This window comes from Homo sapiens, chromosome X, assembly GCF_000001405.40.
Source record: "Homo sapiens chromosome X, GRCh38.p14 Primary Assembly".
Lineage (NCBI taxonomy): Eukaryota > Metazoa > Chordata > Mammalia > Primates > Hominidae > Homo > Homo sapiens.
Window position 1 is genome coordinate 48,538,574 of NC_000023.11, and position 25,675 is coordinate 48,564,248.

At 48.4% G+C, this 25,675-nt stretch overlaps 1 protein-coding gene across 14 annotated transcripts, besides 4 other annotated features; it reads left to right on the top strand.

Moving 5' to 3' along the window:
* Nucleotides 795–1,295: an enhancer, noted in NCBI's record as "H3K27ac hESC enhancer chrX:48397756-48398256 (GRCh37/hg19 assembly coordinates)". NCBI's record gives its function as "activates a minimal SCP1, AML or CMV promoter by ChIP-STARR-seq in naive H9 embryonic stem cells {active_cell/tissue: H9 hESC(naive)}" and the evidence as "EXISTENCE:reporter gene assay evidence [ECO:0000049][PMID:30033119]".
* Nucleotides 795–1,301: a biological region, named in NCBI's record as "H3K27ac hESC enhancer GRCh37_chrX:48397756-48398256".
* Nucleotides 1,082–1,301: a silencer, noted in NCBI's record as "silent region_20818". NCBI's record gives its function as "represses an Ori minimal core promoter by ATAC-STARR-seq in GM12878 lymphoblastoid cells {active_cell/tissue: GM12878}" and the evidence as "EXISTENCE:reporter gene assay evidence [ECO:0000049][PMID:35858748]".
* TBC1D25 (TBC1 domain family member 25) lies at nucleotides 1,141–24,036 on the top strand. 14 transcript variants are annotated; one of them, NR_145499.2, is made up of 7 exons: nucleotides 1,141–1,347; nucleotides 2,760–2,940; nucleotides 6,296–6,450; nucleotides 10,941–11,071; nucleotides 20,324–20,451; nucleotides 20,585–20,773; nucleotides 21,041–24,036. NR_145499.2 is itself a non-coding variant. In NM_001348265.2 (6 exons), the coding sequence occupies exons 2-6, from the start codon at nucleotides 2,882–2,884 to the stop codon at nucleotides 22,400–22,402; spliced, it is 1,893 nt and encodes a 630-aa protein (NP_001335194.1). In that variant the 5' UTR covers nucleotides 1,141–1,359; nucleotides 2,760–2,881; the 3' UTR covers nucleotides 22,403–24,036. The 14 variants fall into 14 exon arrangements, 5 of the variants coding, with proteins under 5 accessions (NP_001335194.1, NP_001335192.1, NP_001335191.1 ...); NM_001348265.2 differs by lacking the exon at nucleotides 10,941–11,071 and having other exon boundaries at nucleotides 1,141–1,359; NM_001348263.2 differs by lacking the exon at nucleotides 10,941–11,071 and having other exon boundaries at nucleotides 1,141–1,359; nucleotides 2,760–2,869.
* Nucleotides 1,296–1,796: an enhancer, noted in NCBI's record as "H3K27ac hESC enhancer chrX:48398257-48398757 (GRCh37/hg19 assembly coordinates)". NCBI's record gives its function as "activates a minimal SCP1, AML or CMV promoter by ChIP-STARR-seq in naive H9 embryonic stem cells {active_cell/tissue: H9 hESC(naive)}" and the evidence as "EXISTENCE:reporter gene assay evidence [ECO:0000049][PMID:30033119]".

Here is a 25,675-nt window from a genome sequence, read left to right on the forward strand (position 1 = left end):
AAGTACAAAAATCATCAGTGTACAAAATCTCCATGAATTTTCACAATGTGTAAACCATTTTCCTGTTTTATCTGACCTTACTAAGTCAGGGTATAAATTATTAATTTTTTTTGAAACAGGGCCTTGCTCTGTGGTGCAGGTTAGGGCAGTGGTGTGATCACCGCTCACTGCAGCCTTGACTTCCTGGGCTCAGCCATCCTGCCGCTTCAGCCTCCCGAGTAGCTGGGACTGCAGGTGTGCGCCACCACGTCCAGCTAATTGTTTAATTTTTTGTTAGAGACGGGGTCTCGCTGTGTTGCCCAGGCTGGTCTAGAACTCCTGGGCTCAAGCGATCAGCCCGCCTCGGCCTCCCAAAGTGCTGAGATTATAAGGCGTGAGCCACTGCACCCTGCTGAGTATATTTTTAAAAACACTTTACCCGAGGGCTGTGGCTCACACCTGTAATCCCAACACTTTGAGAGGCCGAGACGGGTGGATCACTTGAGGTCAGGAGTTCGAGACTAGCCTGGGCAACACAGCTAAACCCTGTTTATACAAGATATACAAAAATTGGCTGGGCGTGGTAGCACGCGCCTGTAGTCCCAGCTCTTGGGAGGCTGAGGCAGGAGGATCGCTTGATCATAGCTCACTTTGAGGCTACAGTGAGCTGTGATCGCGCCATTGCACTCCAACCTGGATGACAGAGCGAGACCCTGCCTAAAAAAATAAAAAAAAAAAGGATTTTTTTCTGTTCAGTGGATTCATTTGAAGCGAGGGCCACTGGTATTTGAAATAGATGACATCATCTGCCAGCAGAGGCGTGAGGCAACTTGAGGCGGGGTGTGGGCCTGACGTCATCACGCAGCCTCTTCCTTTCCCCGCCCCCTTCTCTTGGCGAACGAGGCGTCAGTTTAACACCTCCGTGAATCCGGAAGTATGCTGTCAAAACAACCAAACCACGGGGCTGGGGGAGGCGGGGCCTCAGTAGGCGTCTGCACGCTAGCTGAAATAGAGCAAAATGCCCGACTTTTGGGGGCGGGGCTCCTGGCAACAGCACTCTAGGCGCAGGCGCAGAGGCGACCTCCAGGCAGGGCCAGGTGGGAGGGACGGTGGGGGGTAGGGTCGCGCGGCGCCCTCTGCGCCTGCGCCCCGGCACGAGGTGGGGCGGCGGGCGTCAGTACAGTAGAGTGTGCGCCGGGGTGGGGGGCAACGGTCAGCCGTCACCCTGAGACGGGCGGCGGCGGGATGGCAACAGCCTCCGGGGCCTCGGACTTGTCTGGCTCCGGAGCGCCCCCGCCCGGTGTGGGAGCTCAGGCGGCGGCGGCCGCTGAGGAGGAGGAGCGAGAGGTGGTGCGGGTCCGAGTCAAGGTGAGGCTGGCGGTGAGTCGGCCCAGCCGCCGAGGCATCCCAGGGGAGGGGGAGGCGGTGGCTGTCATAGGATGGAGGGCGGGACCTGAGATTTCGGACATAACCTGAGCGGCGAAGCTTGAGGGCCAAGTGATGATGGCGAGGGGTAGGGAGGGCCTGAGAGCCTGAGAGCGTTAGCGACGTACCTTGGGGCGTGGGACTGAAAATAGAGGGACGAGGCGGGGGTCTATGGGATGAATGGGTGGAGCTTATAGACAAAGGGGAGGGGCTATGGGGCTGGAGGAGGGGCCGCAGTAGTTGAGGGTGGGGCTCTGAGGAATGAGAAGGTGCTGGCTCTGGAGTCAGTCAACCCATGTGTTGAGAGTGCACTTATGTGCAAGTTCCCACTTTGATGAGCTGACAGGCTCGTGGGTGGAGACAACTAAAGAAATGAGATGCTTCGGACACTAAAATAATGAAAAAGGTTATGAAATAGGGAGTCACGTTAGCCAAGGTTGTACAGGGAAATCCCCAGAGGAGGTATTGAAGGAGCAGAGACCCGAATAAAAGGAGTCAGCCATGTGCATATTAGAAGGGAAGAGTATTCTAGGCAGAAGGAATAGCAAGGGCAAAGACTAGAGGATGGGAATGAGCCTGGCATGTTCCCGTAGGTTCCTGATTGCTGGAGTGGAGAGAATGAGGGGAAGAGTGGTAGGAGGTGAATCAGAGCGCTAAGACAGAGACAGATCGCCAAGGGCCTTTGGTGTGTATGCTGAGGAAGAACGCTGTTGCCATAGTTCCAGTAAACAATGATGGTGGCTCCGACCAACCAGTGGCACTGGCAGTGATAAGAGGGTCCACACATCACTTCAGTGTAATAGAGCTCTAAGGTAGAAGTTTGACATTCAGAAAAAAGATGATGCCTGAGCTGGGCGTGAACCACGTGAAGAAAGTGGGAGGGATGTTCCAGACAGGGGATCAGCACAATCAATGGCCTGGAGTCAGGATGGTTTCAAGGTAACTTCTAACAGTTTGGTACTACTAGAGTGTAAAGTTCAAAAAACCTGGTGAGAGGCTGGCTGGGGCCCCATAGGCCCGCTTGCTGGGACTCTAGGGTTGCCATTGAAGAGATTGAAGCAGGGGAGTGTTGTAGGTAGATGTGTTAGATTGGTTACAGCACCATAGAGGACTGATTTAACAGGAGCCAGACTGGACACGGTGATTCTGGCAACCATAGTTGAAGGGATATAGAAGAAGGATTGGGGGCCTGAACTCTTGCAGTAGCCTCCTCCTCACTGGACCCTGTGGTCCAGAACACCTGCCTTGATCTGGCCCCTGGCACCTCTCTGACTTTGCCTTCTACCACTCTGCACCTCACTCTTCAGCATGGTGATGGGGCCCCTGGTGGCCTACCCCATGTCTTCTCTCCCCAGAAATGTGAGAGCTTCTTGCCGCCAGAGTTCCGCTCTTTTGCTGTAGATCCCCAGATCACCTCGCTCGACGTGTTGCAGCACATCCTCATCCGAGCCTTTGATTTGAGTGGGTGAGTGGGAAGATGCTGGGGACTGGCCAGTGGGCCACCGACCTCTACAGTGGCTATCTGGCCTTTGTTTGGTAGGGTTTTTGTTTATTTTACTACTACAAATAATCCCACAGTGAACAGCCACGTATGCATGTCTTGGAGCACAGTAGTCTACTTTTGTCTGTGGTTTTGCTTTCTGCAGTTTCAGTTACCCATGGTCAACCTCAGTCTGCAAATATTACATACAATAAGATATTTTGAGAGAGAGAGAGAGACCACATTCATATTACTTTTATTACAGTTTACAGACAGTCCCCAACTTACAATAACTGGACTTAGGATTTTTCAACTTTACAATGGTGCAAAAGCGATACGCATTTGGTAGAAACTGTACTGCAAGTGCCCAGCGATTCTGCTTTTCACTTTCAGTACAGTGTTCAATAAATTACATGAAATATTCAACACTGTTGTAAAACAGACTCTGTGTTAGATGATTTTCCCAACTGTAGGCTAATGTGAGCGTTCTGAGCACGTTTAAGGTAGGCTAGGCTAACCTGTGATGTTTGGTAGGATAAATGTGTTAAATGCATTTTCCTTTTTATTTCTTTTTTTTTTTTTTTTTGAGATGGAGTCTAACTGTCACCCAGGCTGCAGTGCAGTGACATCTCCCAGGTTCAAGTGATTCTCCTGTCACAGCCTCCCAAGTAGCTGGGACTACAGGCATGCACCACTATGCCCGGATAATTTTTTTTTTTTTTTTTTTTGAGACGGAGTTTTGCTCTTGTCCCCCGGGCTGCAGTGCAGTGGCGCAGTCTCAGCTCACTGCAACCTCCGCTTCCCGGGTTCAAGTGATTCTCCTGCCTCAGCCTCCCAAGTAGCTGGGATTACAGGCACGCACCACCACGCCTGCTAATTTTTGTATTTTTATTAGAGACAAGGTTTCACCATGTTGGTCAGGCTAGTCTCGAACACCTGACCTCAAGTTACCTGTCCACCTCGGCCTCCCAAAGTGCTAGGATTACAGGTGTAAGCCCCCGCACCCAGTCCCAGATAGTTTTTTGATCTTCTCTTTTTTTTTTTTTTGGAGACAGAGTCTCACTCTGTCACTTAGGTTGGAGTGCAGTGGTCCGATGTTGGCTCATTGCAGCCTTTGCCTCCCGGGTTCAAGTGATTCTCATGCCTCAGCCTCCAGAGTAGCTGGGATTACAGGTGTGCACCACCACACTCAGCTAATTTTCATGAGGTTGGTCAGGCTGGTCTCAAACTCCTGATCTCAAGTGATCCGCCCACCTCGGCCTCCCAAAGTGTTAGGATTACAGGCACGTGAGCCTCCGCACCCGGCCAATTTTTTGTATCTTTAGTAGAGACAGGGTTTCGCCATGTTGCCCAGGGCAGTCTCAAACTCCTGAGCTCAAGCAATCCGCCCGCCTCAGCCTCTCAAAGTGCTGGGATTACAGGTGAGCCACTGCGCCCAGCCAAATGCATTGTCAACTTACAGTATTTCCAACTTACGATGAGTTTATTGGTACATAACCCTGTCATAAGTCAAGAAGCATCTGTATTGTCATAATTGTTCTATTATTGTTAATCTCTTACTGTGCCTAATTTATCAATTAAACCTTATCATAGGTATGTATGTATATGAAAAAAAACATAGTATATATAGGGCTTGGTACTATCTGCAGTTTCAGGCATCCACTCGGGGGGGTCTTGGAATGTATCCCCTGTAGATAAAGAGGGACTACTGTATTTGGAAACATCTAGTCATAGGATAAATTCCTAGCAGTGGTATTGCCAGGTAAAAGGGTATTTGCTTTAAAAAAAATTTTTTTTTTGAGACAGTCTCATTCTGTCGTCCAGGCTGGAGTGCAGTGGTGTGATCTCGTCTCATTGCAACCTCCACCTCCTGAGTTCAAGCAATTCTCCTGCCTCGGCCTCCTGAGTAGCTGGTACTACAGGCGTGCGCCACCATGCCCGGCTAATTTTTGTATTTTTAGTAGAGATGGGGTTTCACCGTGTTGGCCAGGATCGTCTCGATCTCCTGACCTCGTGATCCACCCGCCTCAGCCTCCCAAAGTGCTGGGATTACAGGCATGAGCCACCGCACCTGGCCTGCTTTTTGAACTATTAATGGGTGTTTCCAAAATGCTCTCCAGACAGGTTTTATCAATTTATGATCTCAGCCGGGCGCTGTGGCTCATGCCTGTAATCCCAGCACTTTGGGAGGCTGAGGCAGGTGGATCACGAGGTCAGGAGATCAAGACCATCCTGGCTAACACGGTGAAACTCCGTCTCTACTAAAAATACAAAAAATTCTCCAGGCGTGGTGGTGGGCGCCTGTAGTCCCAGCTACTTGGGAGGCTGAGGCAGGAGAATGGCATGGGCCCGGGAGGCGGAGCTTGCAGCGAGCCGAGATCGCACCATTGCACTCCAGACTGGGCGACAGAGTGAGACTCCGTCTCAAAAAAAAAAAAAAACGAATTTATGATCTCATCAGCAGCACATAAATGCCTGTTTCCCTCACACCCTCGCAAACATTGGTTACTGTAAAACTGCAAAATTTGCCAATCTGATAGCTGAAAAGTGGTGTCTCTTGGGGGCAGATGTGATAGTCATTTTGTTGTGATTTTGGAGGAATACATACACATGGTAAGAAATTCAAACAGTACACAATTGTTGGGTATTTAGGATGTTTCCATGGTTATGATGAGCATCACGCAACAAACTTCTTTACATAGTTGCACAAGTATAGCTGAAAAATTCTTAGTTGTTATTAGACTTTCTTACATAAACATTTTTGTTGTGAAAAATAACAAACACAGATTGCTTTTTTTTTATGTAGTAAGAAGGCTGCTTTCTTCCCACTTCTGTCCCACATCTACCCCAGAGGGGACCAACTTTTTTTTTTTTTTTTGAGATGGAGTCTTGCTCTGTCACCCAGGTTGGAGTGCAATGCCACAATCTTGGCTCACTGCAACCTCCACCTCCCAGGTTCAAGCGATTCTCCTGCCTCAGCCTCCTGAGTAGCTGGGATTACAGGCACCTGCCACCACACCCAGCTAATTTTTTTTGTATTTTTAGTACAGAAGGGGTTTCACCATGTTGACCAGGCTAGTCTCAAACTCCTGACCTCAGGTGATCCACCCACCTCGGCCTCCCAAAGTGCGGAGATTATAGGCGTGAGCCACTGCACCCGGCCAACATTTTACCAGTTTCCAATGTGACCTCCAGATACAAGCAGGTGTGTACCTGCTTGTATGTGTTTGTGTAACAAAGTGGGTATAAATGACCTGATCTCAGGCTGCCCATAATCCTTGGCACAGTACCTTGCACATAGTAGGAAGTTGTTTTCAACGCCTTCTATATTACCCTCCTTGTTTTGGAAACTGTCCCTGAGGCCTCCAGGGCACCAGGGGCCCTGAGAGCTCCCTCGTATCCCCTGTCCAGGAAGAAGAACTTTGGCATCAGCTACCTGGGCCGGGACCGGCTAGGACAGGAAGTTTACCTCTCACTTCTATCTGACTGGGACCTCAGCACAGCCTTTGCCACTGCCTCCAAACCTTACCTGCAATTGCGTGTAGATATTCGGCCCTCGGAGGACAGTGAGTACTCAGTGCCCCCAGGAGCACTGCTCTGGAACCCCTTTACCCCATAGGGTGATGCTACCCCTCACAGTACACTCCCTCATGGTGGGATGGGTAGCAAGGTATCCTAGCTATAGATCCTGGCTCAGCCACTAGGCCACAATTTCTTCACTTGTAAAGAGATAATTGTATCTTAGAACCATTGTGAGGCCTTGTATCTTAGAACCATTGTGAGGGGAAATTCATATAAAATGCCTGGAACAGTGCATGACTGCATAATGAAGGCTCAGAAAGTGTTATCTCTAATAATGATAATTATATTGTATTATACTATTATAACATATAACCGAGTAATGTATGTAATAATTAGATATAATGCAGATTTATAATATAGTATAACGGTATAGCTTTAGCATTATGTATTTCAGTTATAATACCTAAATATAACAATGCGTATTATAATAATGCTAGTTGTGTTTATTCATTCAGTCATTCTGCACCCATATTCATTTGTTTGTATTCTTGCTCACTCATTCATTTGTTCCCTTGACCTCTCAGCCACTTTTTCTCTTCTCATCTTTGTTCTTCCACTCTTGCCTATTCTGGTCCCTGCGAGCACACAGATAAATTAGGACGTGGTCTCAAAATTTGATTACAGACCATACATTAGATAATTGTATCAGTATTAAATTTCCTGGGTGTGTGTCTTAGTCGTTTTGTGCTACTATAACAGAATACCACAGACTGAGGAATTTGTAAAGAAGAGAAATTTATTTCTCACAGTTTTGGAGACTGGGAAGTCCAAGATCAAGGTGCTGGCAGGTTGTGTGTCTAGTGAGGGCTTTCTTGCTGCATCCTCACATGACAGAAGAGCAGAAGAGAGTGAACCCACACCCTCAACCTCTTTATAAGAGCCCAAATCCGCTGGGCACGGTGGCTCATGCCTGTAGTCCCAGCACTTTGGGAGGCTGAGGCAGGCGGATCACCTGAAGTCAGGAGTTCGAGACCATCCTGGCCAACATGGTGAAACCCTGTCTCTACTAAAAAAAATACAAAAATTAGCCGGGTGTAGTGGCACATGCCTATAATCCCAGCTACTCGGGAGGCTGAGGCATGAGAATCGCTTGAACCCGAAAAGCAGAGGTTGCAGTGAGCCAAGATCTTGCCACTGCACTCCAGCCTGGGTGACAGAGCGAGACTTCATCTCAAAAAAAAAAAAAAAAAGAGGCTGAGCACGGTGGCTCACGCCTGTAATCCCAGCAGTTTAGGAGGCCGAGGCGGGCAGATCACAAGGTCAGGAGATCGAGACCACCCTGGCTAACACGGTGAAACCCTGTCTTTACTAAAAATACAAAAAAATAGCCGGGCGTGGTGGCGGGTGCCTGTAGTCCCAGCTACTCGGGAGGCTGAGGCAGGAGAATGGCATGAACCCGGGAGGCGGAGCTTGCAGTGAGCCAAGATCGCACCACTGCACTCCAGCCTGGGCAACAGAGCAAGACTCCATCTCAAAAAATAAATAAAATAAAAAATAAAAAAAGAGCCCTAATCCCATCTGTGAGAGCTCTACCCTCAGGACTTAATCACCTCTTAAAGGCCCCCACCTCTTAATATGATCACATTGGTAATTAAATTGCAACACATGAATTTGGAAGGACACATTCAAACCATAGCAGTGTGGTAGTGGTATCATATCTATTGAAGGAAAATATCCTTGTTCTTGGGAAAGACACAGTTAAGTATGAAGGGGTAAAATGTCATGATGTCTGCAAATAAGTTGGCAAAAATAATGTGTTTATATACAGAGAGAGTGAGATAAAGCAAATGTGGCCCAAAAAAATGTTAATAGAGGATCTAGATGAAGTATGTATGGGTGTTCAGTGTATTCTTTTAACTTTATTGTAGGTTCAAAATTGTTTTAAATAGTTGTGGAGTGGAAGATGTGGTTCCCAGCCTCAGGAAACTCATGTGCCCATTTGGGATGAGTCGAGCACTTTATTGATGTCATAATAACATATAACTAGCTAATGTGTAGTGAACACTTAGGGCCATTCTGTGCACATAATATTTTTTCACTGAATTGTCAAAATAATCCTATAGAGTAGGGACAATCATTTTCCCCATATTATAGATGAGGAAACTGAGGCTCAGAGAGGTGACAGGACTCGTCCCAGTTATACAGACAGTAAGTTGAAGAGCAAGATTTGAACTCAGGCAGTGGCTGAACTGGCTCCAGAGTCCTTGTTCTTAACCATTTAACTCTACAACATTTTGGACTTGTTAAAATTGGCAGCTTTGCAAAAGAGAGACAGAGGAGAGAGAGAAACAAGAGTCAGAGGGAAAGATAGTGACAGAGATGGGCAGGAAGCCAAATAGGAAAAGCCAGGTAGCCAGACACACAGGAACCTCTGCCACTGAGTAGCCATATGTGCTTATGTCAGTCACTTAATTCCCTGGGCCTTGTTTTCCTCACCTGTTAAAGAGACACAGTAGCACTATTTCAGGAAAAAAATCAAATCTGCATGGCTACGAAACATGTGGAGAAAACCCCAAGTGCATGAGAACTGGGACGAATGCCAGTAAAGCAGAGAGACAGACAGAAAGACACCCAGTAGTCTGGCAGGAATACATCTTTAAAAGGTTATCTTTTTAGGCCAGGCGCCGTGGCTCACGCCTGTAATCCCAGCACTTTGGGAGGCCGAGGCGGGTGGATCACCTGAGGTCAGGAGTTCGAGACCAGCCTGGCCAAACATGGCGAAACCCTGTCTCTACTAAAAATACAGAAATTAGCCGGGCGTGGTGGTAGGCGCCTGTAATCCCAGCTACTCGGGAGACTGAGGCAGGAGAATTGCTTGAGCCTGGGAGGCGGAGGTTGCAATGATCCGAGCTCGTGCCACCGCACTCCAGCCTGAGTGACAGAACTAGACTCCATCTCAAAAAAAAAAAAAAAAAAGCCCTCTGTCTTATTTACCAAATTCCTGCACAACATCGGTCTGTTTCTGAATTCCTGATTCTCTTACGTTGATCTATTTATTAAATTATAAGCCAATTCTATGTTGTTTTAATCATTGTAGTAGTTTGTTTTCTGTTTGTTTGTTTGGTTTTGAGGGTTTTTTTTTTGTTTTTTTTTTGAGACAGGGTCTCACTCTGTCATCCTTGCTGGAGTGCAGTGGCCCAATCTCAGCTCACTGCAGCCTCCACCTCCCAGGCTCAAGCAATTGTCCCACGTCAGCCTCCTGAGTAGCTGGGCCTATAGGCACATGCCCCCATGCCCAGCTAATTTTTGTATTTTTTGTAGAGACAGGGTTTCGCCGTGTTGCCCAGGCTGGTCTTGAACTCCTGGACTCAAGCAGTCTGCCCGCCTCAGCCTCCCAAAGTGCTGGGATTACAAGCAAGAGCCACCGCACCCAGCCTTAATCATTATAGTTTTATGATATGTTTTCATGTTTTCCTTTTTAAAAAATTTTCTTGAATATTCTTGTTCACTTACTGTTCTTTTTATTTAATAAATCAGCTTATTATTCCATTAAAATCCTGACGGGAATTTGATTGGAGTCATATTTTTAAGAGAAACTAATCTTTCATTACCCAGTAAATACATTCTTATTAAAAATAAAAGCATTTTAAATAATGCTGAAGTCTCCTGGGAACGCTATGCCTAATCTCAATCCCCTACCCTACCCTTTTTGCCCCGAGGGAATCGGTTTGATGTGTAACTTTGCATGTCCTTTACTTATTTACACTCCCTACACACACATTTATCCACATATGTGAGTATATTCATATTTGCGTGTCTGTACACATAAACGGTATGTGTTTAACATAAGGTATTCTACACATTAATATGTAAGTGTCCAATATATGGAGCTATCATTAGACATATTAATGGCATTCTCATGATCATTTTCATGGCTGTGAAAGCAACAGACATGTTGGGACTGTTTGGATGGCCCAGTCCCTCTTTCTGGGAAAAAGCCAGTTTCTGTCACCTCTACAGTTGGGAGATTACAAAGCCTAGACCTTTGACCAATTTGTACTTTTCCGATATGAATCTTTTTTCTTTTTGAGACTCTCTTTGTCACCAAGGCTGGAATGCAGTGACGCAAATATGGCCCACTGCAGCCTTGACCTCAAGCTCTCCTCCTGCCTCAGGCTTTCAAGTAGCTGGGACTACAGGTGTGCACCACCATGCCCAGCTAATTTTTGTATTTTTTGTAGAGACATGGTTTTGCCATGTTGGCCAGGCTGGTCTCGAACTTCTGACCTCAAGTGATCCACCCACCTCGGCCTCTCAAAGTGTTTGGATTACAGGCGGGAGCCACCGTGCCCAGCCCCCAACCTCCTTTCTATCATAGGTACTGCAAATATTTTTCCCAGTTGATCTTTTGTTTTTTGGCTTTGCTTACGGGATGGATCTGTTTTGTCCTATCAAAATTAAACATTTGATTGCACGCCTACACAGATATCTATCTTTTTCTTTATGATTTCTGAGTTTCTCCTTTTTATTGCAGGTGGAGGGACAGAGTTTCACTCTCATTGCCCAGGCTGGAGTGCGATGGCGCGATCTCGGCTCACTGCAACCTCCGCCTCCTGGGTTCAAGTGATTCTCCTGCCTCAGCCTCCCAAGTAGCTGGGATTACAGGCATGTGCCACTACACCTGGCTACTTTTGTATTTTTAGTAGAGATGGAGTTTCACCATGTTGGTCAGGCTGGTATCGAATTCCTGATCTCAAGTGATCCACCTGCCTGGGCCTCCCAAAGTGGTGGGATTACAGGCATGAGCCACTGTGCCTGGCTGAGTTTCTCCTATTACTTTGGAACATGTTCCCCATCCATAAGCTTATACAAATATTCTATATTTTCTTCTACTATGCTTATTGTTTTCTTTTTTACATATAAATCTTTTCTCTGTCAGCATTGTGATAAGCAGACCTAGCTTTAAAAAAATCAAGATAGTCAATTATGCCAGCATCATTTTTTTTAATTTAATTTTTTTTTTTGAGACGAAGTTTTACTCTTATCGCCCAGGCAGGAGTGCAGTTGCACAATCTCAGCTCACTGCAGCCGCCGTCTCCTGGGTTCAAGCAATTCTCCTGACTCAGCCTCCCAAATAGCTGGGATTACAGGTGCCCGCCACCATGCCTAGCTAATTTTTGTATTTTTAGTAGAGATGAGGTTTTGCCATGTTGGCCAGGTTGGTGTCGAACTTATGACCTCAGGTGATCCACCCACTTCAGCCTCCCAAAGTGCTGAGATTACAGGCATGAGCCACTGCGCCCGGCCTGCCAGCATCATTTATTAAATAATCACCTTTTCTGCAGTGATTCGAAATGCCACGTTTGTCACATATTCAGTTTCCATATATACAAGCTTGGATTTATTTCTGGGCTTTCTATTGCATTCTACCAATGGGCTCTATTTGTCTACTGCTGTGCTAACACCATGTTATTTTTATGACAGTGGTTTTGTGGTCAAATTTTTTTTTTTTTTTGAGATGGAGTCTCGCTCTGTCGCCCAGGCTGGAGTGCAGTGGCGCAATCTCAACTCACTGCAAGCTCCGCCTCCCGGGTTCACGCCATTCTCCTGCCTCAGCCTCCCTAGTAGCTGGGACTACAGGCGATAAGCTTTTGCCATCCTCCCACTGTTCTTTGTCTTAACTTTTTTTTTTTTTTTGGAGATGGAGTCTTGCTCTGTCGCCCAGGCTGGAGTGCAGTGGCACAATCTTGGCTCACTGCAAGCTCCACCTCCTGGGTTCACGCCATTCTCCTGCCTCAGTCTCCCAAGTAGCTGGGACCACAGGCGCTCGCCACCACGCCCGGCTAATGTTTTGTATTTTTAGTAGAGGCAGGGTTTCACCGTGTTAGCTAGGATGATCTCGATCTCCTGACCTCGTGATCCACCCACCTCGGCCTCCCAAAGTGCTGAGATTACAGGCATGAGCCACCGCGCCCAGCCTGTCTTAGCTATTCTTAAATGTGAATTCTTCTATAGAAACCTTAAGATAATTTTATCCGGTTCCAGGAAAAACCCCCATTCAATTTCTGACTGGCATTGCACTGAGTTTATATATTAATTTAGGGTTTGGGAAGTTTGACAATTTTATGATAAGGAAATGCGCGTATCATGAATATTATGTAATACCACAAGCAGGGTCTGGGCCAGCAGCCAAGCAGCCCACAATGAAACACTTGGATGTTTCTTCAGGGAAATGTGTGCATATTCACACTACGTGGGTTATATAAAGACTATATATAGTCTCCTGTCAGTTCAGATCAGGTTTTGCTACTAGGTGAGTTTGTGTTTGTAGACATTCTTTGCCTGTTTTTTGTTTGTTTGTTTGTTTGTTTTTTTGAGACACTCTGTTGCCAGGCTGGAGTGCAGTGGCACAATTCCGGCTCACTGCAACCTCTGCCTCCCAGGTTCAAGCGATTCTCCTGCCTCAGCCTCTTGAGTAGCTGAGATTACAGGCACGCGCCACCACGCCCAGCTAATTTTTGTATTTTTAGTAGAGACGGGGTTTCACCATGTTGGCCAGGACGGTCTCGATCTCTTGACCTTGTGATCCGCCCGCCTTGCTTCTCAAAGTGCTGGGATTACAGGTGTGAGCCACTGCGCCCGGCCTTTTTTTTCCTTTTTTTGAGAGGGAGTCTCACATTGTTGCCCAGGCTGGAGTGCAGTGGCGCGATCTCAGCTCACTGTAACCCCTGCCTCCCAGGTTCAAGCGATTCTCCTTACCTCAGCCTCCCAAGCAGCTGGGATTACAGGCACCTGCCACCACACCTGGCTAATTTTTTTTTGTATTTTTTAGTAGAGATGGGGTTTCACCATGTTGGCCAGGCTGGTCTCAACCTTGTGATCCGCCCACCTCAGCCTCCCAAAGTGCTGGGATTACAGACGTGAGCCACCGCGCCTGGCCTCTGCCTGTTTTATTAGTGGGATTGAGGGGGTGGTTTTTTTAATCAGTATAAAATGTCTCTTTGTGTTAAATGCTTTTGGCCTTGAGTGATGCTTTTTCTGACATTCTCATGGCTACTATTTTTTTCTGTTTGTGTTTACCAGATATACCTTTAGGATTCTTTAATTTTTAACCTTTTTGTGTCACCTAGTTTTAGGTATGTCTCTCATACCTCTCGTAAAAACGTCATAGCAGAATTTATGCTTTTTAAGGCAACTGACAGTGAAATCTTTTTTTTTTCTTTTTGACACGTAGTCTCGCTCTGTCGCCCAGACTGGAGTGCAGTGGCACGATCTCAGCTCGCTGCAACCTCTGCATCCTGGGTTCAAGCAATTCTCCTCCCTCAGCCTCCCGAGTAGCTGGGATTACAGGCACACACCATCATGCCCGGCTAATTTTTTTTTTTTTTTTTTTGAGATGGAGTTTCGCTCTGTCGCCCAGACTGGAGTGCAGTGGCACAATCTTGGCTCGCTGCAACCTCTGCATCCTGGGTTCAAGCAATTCTCCCTCAGCCTCCCGAGTAGCTGGGATTACAGGCGCTCACCATCACACCTGGCTAATTTTTTGTATTTTTAGTAGAGACGGGGTTTCACCGTGTTAGCCAGGATGGTCTCGATCTCCTGACCTCATGATCTGCCTGCCTCGGCCTCCCAAAGTGCTGGGATTATAGTCGTGAGTCACTGCACCCCGCCCCAACAGTGAAATCTTTAGGCCACTTTTTCTCCTTTAATCTCTCCCACTTTTTCTGGCCTTTAAAATGGAGCTTTGGAACACTTGTAATTCTTATTCGTTTTCTGGTCCCTAACCCTTAACTTCTAGCTTTTGCTTAGACAACTTTTTTTTTTTTTTGAGATGGAGTCTTGCTCTGTTGCCCAGGCTGGAGTGCTATGGCACAATCTCAGCTTACCGCAACCTCCTCTTCCCAGGTTCAAGCAATTCTCCTGCCTCAGCCTCTTGAGTAGCTGGGGTAACAGAAGCGCACCACCACACCCGGCTAGTTTTTTTATATTTGGTAGAGATGGGGTTTCACCATGTTGGCCAGGCTGGTCTTGAACTCCTGACCTCAAGTGATTTGCCTGCCTCGGCTTCCCAAAGTGCTGGGATTACAGGCATGAGCCACCACACCCAGCCAATTTTTTTTCTTTTTAAATTCCGGGTTATCATTCTGTTTTCTTACTAACACACTAAGTCACTTATGTTTCAGGAATCCTAATGTAACATATAATATTACAAACCCCCAATCATGTTATCGTTGTCATTTTAACTATAAATATTAAATATGTAATATATATAATATAATATATAATATATAAATATTACCATTTACCTTCCCCTTTGTCTCTCCCTATCTTAAGCCCTTCTAGTCATGCAGGAGTCATTTGCTCAGAGAACTTCTTTGTTCTCCTCCAAAAGTGCATGGGTTAGATGTACTCTAATGGCCAAAAATGTTTTTATTTGGCTGAATAGATCTGTACTGTCTTGGCTGGGTGTGGGGCCCTTGGATCTCAGGTCTTTCTTCTTAGTGCTCCATAGGTGCTGTGAGCTACTGTCTTATTGCCTCCAGGGTTGTGAAGCAGAAGTCTGTTGCTTGTCTGACCTTCTTTCCATTGTAAGCAGCCGTTTTTTGTCTCTGGAAGCTGCAAGAGTTTTTCTTTTTCTTTTTTTTTTTTTTTTTTTTTTGAGGCAGGATCTCTATTTCCCAGGCGGGAGTGCAGTGACGTGATCTCAGCTCACTGCAACCTCTGCTTCCCAGGTTCAAGCGATCCTCCCACCCACCTCAGCCTCCCGAGTGGCAGGGACTACAGGTGTGCGCCACCATGCCCAGCTAATTTTTATATTTTTGGGTAGAGACAGGGTTTTATCATGTTCAGCCCAGGCTGGTTTTGAACTCTCGGGCTCAAGCAATCCGCCCGCCTTGGCCTCCCAAAGTGCTGGGATTAGGCTGGGCATGGTGGCTCATGCCTGTAATCCCAGCACTTTGGGAGACCGAGGTAGGCGGATCACTTGAACTCAGGAGTTCGAGACCAGCCTGGCCAACATGGTGAAACCCCGTCTCTACTAAAAATACAAAAATTTGCCAGGTGTTGTGGCGCACACCTGTAGTCCTAGCTACTTGGGAGGCTGAGACAGGAGAATCGCTTGAACCCGGGAGGCGGAGGTTGCAGTGAGCCAAGATCACGCCACTGCGCTCCAGCCTGGGCAACAGAGCAAGACTCTGCCTCAAAAAAAAAAAATTGCTGGGATTACAGGCATGAGCCATTGCGCCCAGTCTAAGAGTTTTTCTTTATTCTTAGAATTTGGGCATTTCGGGCTGGGCGCAGTGGCTCACGCCTGTAATCCCAGCACTTTGGGAAGCTGAGGCAGGCGGATCACTTGAACTCAGGAGTTCAAGACCAGCCTGGCCAATGTGGCAAAACCCTGTCTTTACTAAAAATACAAAAATTAGCAAAAATTAGCCGGGCGTGGTGGTATGCCCCTGGAATCCCAGCTACTTGGGAGGCTGAGGCAGGAGAATGGCTTGAACCCAGGAGGCGGAGGTTGCAGTGAGCCGAGATCATACCATTGTGCTCCAGTCTGGGTGACAGAGCAAGACTCCATCTCAAAAAAAAAAAAAAAAAAAGGATAGGGTTGGTGGGGGGCCTGTTGTGTGTTGTTAGTTAATTAATCCTATCTAAGACTTGGTGAGCCATTCCTTCATCTCAGGGAAATTTTCTTTCATACTTGTTTAATTCTGACATCTCCACCTGATCCCTTTTCTCCCCCTGCATTTCCTATTATTTCCATATTTGGTCTCCTGGACTTGGCATCCAGGTCTCTCTACTTTTTCACTCAAATCATTGAACCTTAGCTCCATGCCTTGCAGTGGTTCTTCTGTTCAGACTTTCAGACCATTACTGATTTTTCATAATGTGACCTTCTTCATTTTACCTGTTAAGTGTTTTAATGCTCTGATTAATGTTTTAGAAAGACCATTCTGGCAGCTGTTGGGAGAGATTGGAGAGGAATACAGAGGAAGTGAGGACTGGTTAGGAGGCAGTTTCAGGTGAGAGATATGGTGGCTCAGACAGGGTGAGAAGATGGAGATGAGAGAACAGGTAGGATGGAGGAATGCTTTACATGCAGTAGCCGTAGGACTTGGCGGTGGTTTGGACCTGGGAGTTAAGAGAGTGGGAGGGGGACAAGGATGTCTCTCAGGTTTCTGGTCTATTAAACAACTGAACAGATAGAGATGCTGTTTGTTGAGATGAGGAGTAGAGGAGGAGGCCATGTCTAGAGTGGATCTTGGGCTCCTCTCTTTGGACCCCTTAGGTTTGCAGTACCCCATGAGACATCCAGGGAAAAGCAGTGACATGCAAACATGGCCTAGGGTTTGTTCCCCCCCTCAGCTCTATGGGAAAATTGGGCTCCATGGGAATGCTGTTTAGGGATGGCATTTGCTTGCAAATGACAGTGGCTTAAACAGATAGAAGTTGATTGGTTTCACACAAAAGAGTTTGAAAGTTAGCCACTTGGGCCGGATGCAGTGGCTCACGCCTGTAATCCCAGCACTTTGGGAGGCCAAGGTGAAGGGGGCCTGCCCCTCCACACTTGTGGGTATTTCTCGTTAGGTGGAGACGAGAGATTGAGAAAAGAAATAAGACACAGAGACAAAGTATAGAGAAAGAACAGTGGGCCCAGGGTACCGGCACACTCAGCATGCGAGGACCTGCACCAGCGCCGGTCTCTGAGTTCCCTCAGTATTTATTGATCACTATTTTTACTATCTTGGCAAGGGGAGTGTGGCAGGGCAACAGAGTGTTGGTGGGGAGAAGGTCAGTAGGGAAACATGTGAGCAAAGGAATCTGTATCATGAATAAGTTCAAGGAAAGGTACTGTGCCTGGATGTGCATGTAGGCTAGATTTATGTTTCACTTTACACAAATATCTCAGTGTAGCAAAGAGTAACAGAGCAGTATTGCTGCCAGCATATCTCGCCTCCAGCCACGGGGCAATTTTCTCCTATCTCAGAATAGAACGAATGGTCGGCTTTACACCGAGACATTCCATTCCCAGGGACAAGCAGGAGACAGAAGCCTTCCTCTTATCTCAACTGCAAAGAGGACTCCCTCTTTCACTACTCCTCCTCAGCATAGACCCTTTATGCGTGTCGGGCTGGGGGATGTAAGGTCTTTCCTTTCCCACGAGGCCATATATCAGGCTGTCTCAGTGAGGGGAAACTTTGGACAATACCCAGGCTTTCTTGGGCAGAGTTCCCTGTGGCTTTCCACAGTGCATTTTGTCCCTGGTTAATAGAGAATGGAGAATGGCGATGACTTTTACCAAGCATACTGCCTGCAAACATATTGTTAACAAGGCACATCCTGCATAGCCCTAAATCCATTAAACCTTGATTCAATACAGCACGTTTCTGTGAGCACATGGTTGGGGCTAAAGTTACATACAGATTAACAGCATCTCAAACCAGAACAATTTTTCTTAGTACAGATCAAAATGGAGTTTCTTACATCTTCCTTTTCTGCATAGACACAGTAACAATCTGATCTCTCTTTCTTTTCCCCACATAAGGCGGGTGGATCACCTGAGGTCAGGAGTTGGAGACCAGCCTGGCAAACCCCATCTCTACTAAAAATACAAAAAATTAGCCAGGCGTGGTGGCAGGCACCTGTAATCCCAGCTACTCGGGAGGCTGTGGCAGGAGAATTGGTTGAACCTGGGAGGCAGAGGTTGCAGTGAGCGAGGATCACACCATTGCACGCCAGTGTGGGTGACAGAACAAGACTCCGTCTCAAAAAAAAAAAAAAAAAAAAAAGCCAGCCACTGGACATTGCCATTGTTGGCTTAGTAGCCCTCTCGTATCAGGGCTGTAGGAGAGGATCTCTGAAGATCCTCTCGAACCTACTCTCAGATGGCCACTGCTGCTTCAACCACCACATCTTATGTGAGGTGGGAAGAAAGAATGCGGGGCAAAATGAAAAAGAAAGAGAAACGGTCAGGTGCAGTGGCTCACACCTGTAATCCCAACACTTTGGGAGGCCAAGGCAGGAGGATCTCTTGAGCCCAGGAGTTCAAGACCATAGGCAATATAGTAAGATCCCATCTCTACCAAAAAAAAAAAAAATCATCCACGCATGGTGGCACACGCCTGTAAGCCCCAGCTACTCAGGAGGTTGAGGCAAGAGGATCGTTTGAGCCCAGGAGTTTGAGGCTGCAGTGAGCTATGATCGCACCACTGCACTCCAGCCTTGGGGGACAGAGCAAGACTGTCTCAAAAAAAGAAAAAAAAGATGCCTGTAATCCTAGCACTTTGGGAGGCCAAGGCGGGCTGATCACCTGAGGTCAGGAGTTCGAGACCGGCCTGGGCAACATAGCGAAACCTCATCTCTACTAAAAATACAAAAATTAGGCCAGGTGTGGTGGCTCATGCCTGTAATCCCAGTACCTTGGGAGGCCGAGGCAGGTGGATCACCTGAGGTCGGGAGTTCGAGACCAGCCTGACCAACATGGAGACACCCCGTCTCTACTAAAAATATAAAATTCACCAGGCATGGTGGTACATGCTTGTACTCCCAGCTACTCGGGAGGCTGAGGCAGGAGAATCACTTGAACCCAGGAGGTGGATGTTGCAGTGAGCCGAGATCCCGTCATTGTACTCCAGCCTGGGCAACAAGAGTGAAACTCCGCCTCAAAAAAAAAAAAAAAATTAGCTGGACCTGGTGGCAGGCACCTGTAATCCCAGCTACTTGGGAGGCTTAGGCAGGAGAACTGCTTGAACCCAAAAGGTGGAGTTTGTAGTGAGCCAAGATTGCACCACTGCACTCCAGCCTGGGCGACAGAGTGAGACTCCATCTCAAAAAAAAAAGAAAAAAGAGGCTGGGTGCAGTGGCTCACGCCTATAATCCCAGCACTTTGGGTAGGCCAAGGCGAGTGGATCACGTGAGGTCAGGAGTTCAAGACCAGCCTGACCAACATGGTGAAACTCCGTCTCTACTAAAAATACAAAAATTAGCTGGGCATGGTGGCAGGCACCTGTAATCCCAGCTACTCGGGAGGCTGAGGCAGGAGAATCACTTGAAACCAGGAGGCAGAGTTTGCAGTGAGCTACGTTCACACCACTGCATTCCACCCTCGGTTACAGAGTGAGACTCCGTCTCCAAAAAAAAAAAAAAAAAAGCATATACGGCATACCTGTTCCACTTTTGCACAAATATTTTATTTCTAAAGTATGTCTGGGCTCTGGACTAGGGTGAATGAAGTTCAGATCCCAGCCCTACTATTTCCTGGCTGTAGAATCTTGGTCACTTACTATTTGTTCCAAACCTTTTTGTCATCGTCTGTAAAATGAGAATGGTAATATTAGCGTGCACTGTTTGTGGGAGGAGGACTGGCAAAAATATGAGAGTAGGAGTTTGGGCTCTTGAGCTTGGGCCTGGCCTTCAAATTTCCACTCTTTCACTCACTAGCTAAGGGGCCTTGGGCAAGTACCTTATCATGACTGTGCCTGTTTCCTCAAAGAGAGTCATGGTAGTAGTAGTACTCAACCGATAGGACTGAAGTGACTATTGCATGAGTCAGTATTGGCAAAGAATTCAGAATAGTTCCTGGCATACAGCACTGTGGAAGCATTAGCTAGTATTATTATTTCTTATATTGCTGTTGAGCGCTTGTCCTAGTGCTTGGCACATAGTAACTGCTCAATAAATATTACTTTATATCATTAAAATATTAGAGGCTGCCCAGCCAGTTCCTGAGACATCTACTACAAAAGAATTGTTCATGGTTTGATTTTGTTTTTTACATGATTTGGATGATACAGGAAGAGGGACTGGGAGTTGTTTGTTCCCCTGCAGGTAGCCCGGCTTCAGTAGAAGGAGAGGAAGCCGGCCCTGAGGTCTGGGTTATCATCCCCATTCTTATAGCACTTTGTTCTGTTTGCCCAGGCCCATTGCTAGAAGACTGGGACATAATCAGCCCCAAAGATGTCATTGGCTCCGACGTGTTGCTGGCTGAGAAACGGTCATCACTGACGACTGCCGCCCTGCCCTTTACACAGTCCATCCTCACTCAGGTGTTTTCAGGGACCCTAGGGACCCAGCTGTGGTTGGAGGGCAGAGCCTTCCTGGCACCCTGGTTCTGAGCATGCTGGTTGGCATCTGCCCCTAGTCCACACAGCTGATGGTGGCCTCCCTCCCTCCTCATAGGTGGGCCGTACCTTGTCTAAGGTCCAACAAGTGCTGAGCTGGTCGTATGGGGAAGATGTCAAGCCCTTCAAGCCACCCCTGAGCGATGCTGAGTTTCACACGTACCTGAACCACGAGGGCCAGCTCTCCCGACCCGAGGAGTTGCGCCTGCGGATCTATCATGGCGGTGTGGAGCCCTCGCTGCGAAAGGTGAGCATCCTCAGTCATCTGTTGGGTCCATCACTGCTGCACTCATTAACAGCTCCTGAGACACATGCAGTCAGCCACACTGCTGTGGGCAAGGGTGGAGATGTTACAGGGCACGAAGTTCTCTTTAAGGAGGGGCGAGCAGTCGGAGGCCTAGCAGACTTAGAAGGAAGACAGAGGCCCAAGGGGGGTGGGTGGGTGGCAACTGATAGACATTGGGGTATGGTTTATCTGGAGAACTCCAGCCTCATCCCTTTCACCCCTGGGCAGGTGGTGTGGCGGTACCTGCTGAACGTGTATCCAGATGGACTGACAGGCCGAGAGCGGATGGACTACATGAAACGCAAGAGCCGCGAGTATGAGCAGCTCAAGAGCGAGTGGGCCCAGCGAGCGAACCCTGAGGACCTGGAATTCATCCGCAGCACGGTCCTCAAGGATGTACTGCGCACTGACCGGGCCCACCCCTACTATGCGGGGCCTGAGGATGGCCCACATCTACGGGCGCTGCACGACCTGCTCACCACCTATGCCGTTACCCACCCACAGGTGTCCTACTGCCAGGGCATGAGTGACCTTGCCTCACCCATCCTCGCTGTCATGGACCATGAGGGCCATGCCTTTGTTTGCTTTTGTGGCATCATGAAACGCCTGGCCGCCAACTTCCACCCTGACGGCCGCGCCATGGCCACCAAGTTTGCACACTTGAAGCTGTTGCTGCGACACGCTGACCCTGACTTTTATCAATACCTGCAAGAGGCAGGCGCTGATGACCTCTTCTTCTGTTACCGCTGGCTGCTGCTGGAACTCAAGCGTGAGTTCGCCTTCGACGATGCCCTCCGCATGCTTGAGGTCACTTGGAGTTCGCTGCCCCCTGATCCTCCTGAACATGAGGTAGAGCTGGTTGGACCCCCCAGCCAAGTGGCAGACGCTGGTTTTGGTGGCCACAGGGGGTGGCCCGTGCGACAGAGGCACATGCTGAGGCCTGCTGGTGGAGGAGGTAGTACCTTTGAAGATGCTGTTGACCACCTGGCCACAGCCAGTCAGGGGCCTGGTGGTGGGGGGCGTCTCCTGAGACAGGCCAGCTTGGATGGCCTCCAGCAACTCAGGGATAACATGGGCTCCAGGAGGGACCCTCTGGTCCAGCTGCCCCACCCAGCTGCCCTTATCAGCTCCAAGTCCCTCTCTGAGCCTTTATTGAACTCCCCAGACCCACTGCTCTCCTCCTTTTCCCACCCTGATTCCCCATCTTCCTCATCTCCACCATCCACCCAGGAGGCCTCTCCCACTGGTGATATGGCTGTAGGATCCCCCTTGATGCAAGAGGTAGGCTCCCCGAAAGACCCTGGAAAGTCCCTGCCACCTGTACCACCAATGGGCCTGCCCCCACCCCAGGAGTTTGGCCGGGGGAACCCATTCATGCTGTTCCTCTGCCTGGCCATCCTGCTGGAGCACCGCGACCACATCATGCGCAATGGGCTGGATTATAATGAGCTGGCCATGCACTTTGACCGCCTTGTGCGAAAACACCACCTGGGGCGCGTCCTGCGCCGGGCTAGGGCTCTCTTTGCTGATTACCTGCAGTCAGAGGTGTGGGACTCAGAGGAGGGGGCTGAGGCCACAGCCGCATCTTGATCAGGCTTTCTCAAGCCCTCCATCGGCCCCACCAGATCTCCATTCTTTGCCATGAGGGCCAACACATGAGACCCCACCTCCCTCCCTGCCTGCCAGCCCTAGACTTGTTGGAGCATAGAGCCCTTCCTCCCCAGGCCTAAGTATGTGGAGCTCTGCTTTGGCACTGCCCCGCAGAGGCCACGCCTATTTATTCTGTTTCTGTTGTTTTGTTTTTAACAACTATACTTTGCACACATGAAGGTCACTGTGGTTTGTGTGTTTCTCTGCCTCCTCCCTGGGTTTTGCTGTAGATGGAGTCCTCAGGGGCCCTTTACCTGATGGAGGGGAAATACTTCACTTGGTGGAGAGAGGCTCCAGCTTCCCCCTTGTGATGGGGAGAGTGGATGCTGACAATCAGTTCCCAAAGGTGAGCCCAGGTGGAGCACTGCTTGAGGAAGGCCTGAGTCTGTTTTTTTGGTACATCCATCGGCCTGTAAGGGTCTGTATTATGGCTGTGAATATATGTTTTCAGGACAGCCCCCTGGATGAGAGATAAGAGAGTTCCTGGCTCAAAAAAGGACAAGATTCTTTACTGAGATTGGGAAGTATGGGCTACTTAGAAACGTTGGAGCAGCCACCCCTGGCATTCCACATGTCACCATTTCTAGGATCTTGGCCTCTCTGTGAGGTTTATGCACCAATGCTGGCAGCCCTGGGCAGGGGCCTCGGCCTCCTTTTTGTTTTCCACTTCAGACAGGTACCGTGCAGATGTTAACAAGGTTTGAGCGAGGTGCATCTCACACAAGTGTGAAAGCCCAATCATCACATTGTTGAATTACAAAAGGATCTAGGGCTCCTATTCTTGTCACTTGCTTTGGAGCCAGTTTGAAAGACTGGCCTAGCCCATGCCTAGCGGCCCTAAACTGGGATTCCAGCTCACAGCACCTGTCTTAACCATTTCAGCAGTAGAAACCACTTATTTACCTTCTCCATCTCACTAATATGGACAAACAACAAGCACTGATAAAACGCAGGCCCTAATAGAATTCACTTCGTTATTTGGAGGATAATGATCAAAAAAAGGTCCTTTTTCCCACTGACATGCTCAGAGGGTGGGATTCTCTCACAGGCCAGGTGCTGTCATCCACAAAGGATGGGTGAAATAACTGGGGTCCTCAGGTCACGGTCTAGCCACACCAGCTTCTCCCAAGTACTAACCAGGCTTGACCCTGCTTAGCTTCAGAGGTCAGACAAGATCTGGCATGTTCAGGATGGTATGGCTGTAGACCAGGCTGGGTTCTGGCCAGAGCTGTTGCACTAGGCAATGCTGCCAGAGATGAGGAGGCATCAGGGCAGTCATCCCTTCTGCTGTTTGCCCCAAGAATGCCATACAAACCTGGGGATGACCCTTAAAAGTCTCCCGTCACCCCCAGTATTGGGGGGAAGCTGACTATTCCTCAGATGATAGCCCAGTCACTTGAAGAACAGGACAAGACTATTCTGTGTCTAGGGGGCTCAAGCACTGTGTGTGGGTCTAACGAATGCATTTTGTGGAAATGGGCTCAGACTCCCCAAAGGGCCATCCAACCTATGGGAGTGTCTGGCCTTCTGAGGTCCTGAAATGTCTCTTTTGTCAGTAAACAGCTAATACCCTCTGGGATGCATTCTGTGATTTATGAGCTCAGGTGTTTGAAGGACCAGACAAGCCAATTCTGTGGATAGTAGTTTGGGACCTCTGAGAGATAGAAGAGTCCTTTCTGTGAATAGGAGGCTCAGATACCCTGAAAGGCAGAAACCTCTAATATTCCTCTAGGATACTTGGGGTTTCTGGTTCCTGCAAAGATGGCAGACAGCACAAGCTACTGATTCCTTTGCCCGAAACCAACTCTGGAGAAACTAGAGAGGGAAACATGGGTTCCAGAAATTGCAACATAGCAATGAGAGACCCATGGGGAAATGGAAGGCTGTCTTTAACTGGTGTGTGTTTTGACGGGCGGATGGCCAGAGGCAGTAAATAGAGGATAGGTTAGGGAAAAAGATATTTAAGTTCTGGCTCTCACCTCTCCCCTATATTGCCTTGGGGAGGTCCTTGTTTGCCCCCTTCATTGCATTAATCATCCAAACCACTGGTACACATGTCTGGGGGACTAGGATCAGGGCAGCAAGGGCCCTGCAGGGGAAAGAAATAGGCAGCCAGAGGAAATCAGTCCTCCACCTGTCTCCCTCCAGACACCCGGGCTGGTGGATTACACCTAAGGAGACTGCCACCTCTTTTTTTTTTTTTTTTTGAGACAGAGTCTTGCTCCATCACCCAGGCTGGAGTGCAGTGGCGCGATCTCAGCTCACTGCAACCTCCGCCTCCCGGGTTCAAGGAATTCTCCTGTCTCAGCCTCCTGAGTAGCTGGGACTACAGGTGCCTGCCACCATGCCTGGTTAATTTTGTATTTTAGTAGAGACGGGGTTTCACCTTGTTGGTCAGGCTGGTCTCAAACTCCCGACCTCAGGTGATCCACCCGCCTCGGCCTCCCAAAGTGCTGGAATTACAGGCGTGAGCCACCGCACCCAGCCAAAACTGGCACCTCTTAAAGCGGTTTTCCTCCGACGGTTTAAAGATGAACCCCACGCTAGGGGGATTGTCAGGTGTCCAAAGGGCAGGTGAGCGGGATAACTGTGCTTCTGTGGTACCTGTGGCTGTCCAGCCTCTGGCTCCTCTCCCACACATCCTTTTACCCCTGGAGCTCCAGGTCATTAAGCTGACTCGAGTCAGGCCTTCAGCCTTTCCTCAGTACGTTCTATCAGCCAGGAGAGCGGATAATTTCAGGGGCATGTAAGTTCACCACCAAAATAACCAGACACCAGGGCAGTATGACTTCCACCAAAGAAAAAATAAACTGGACATTCTCTAGTGCTGGATAACAAATTACCCCAAACTTAGCCACTTAAAACATCACAGTTTCTGAGCTGGGTGTGGTGGCTCACACCTGTAATCCCAGCACTTTGAGAGGCAAGGCGGGCAGATCACCTGAGGTCAGGTGTTTGAGACCAGCCTGGCCAACATGGTGAAACCACGTCTCTACTAAAAATACAAAAAATTAGCTGGGCATGGTGGCACACCTGTAGTCCCAGCTACTTGGGAGGCTGAGGCAAGAGAATCGGTTGAGCCCGGGAGGCGGAGGTTGCAGTGAGCCAAGATTGTGACCCTGCACTCTAGCCTGGGTGACAGAGTGAGACTCTGCCTCCAAAAAAAAAAAAAAAACAATAAAAACCATCACAGTTTCTGAGGGTCAGGAATCT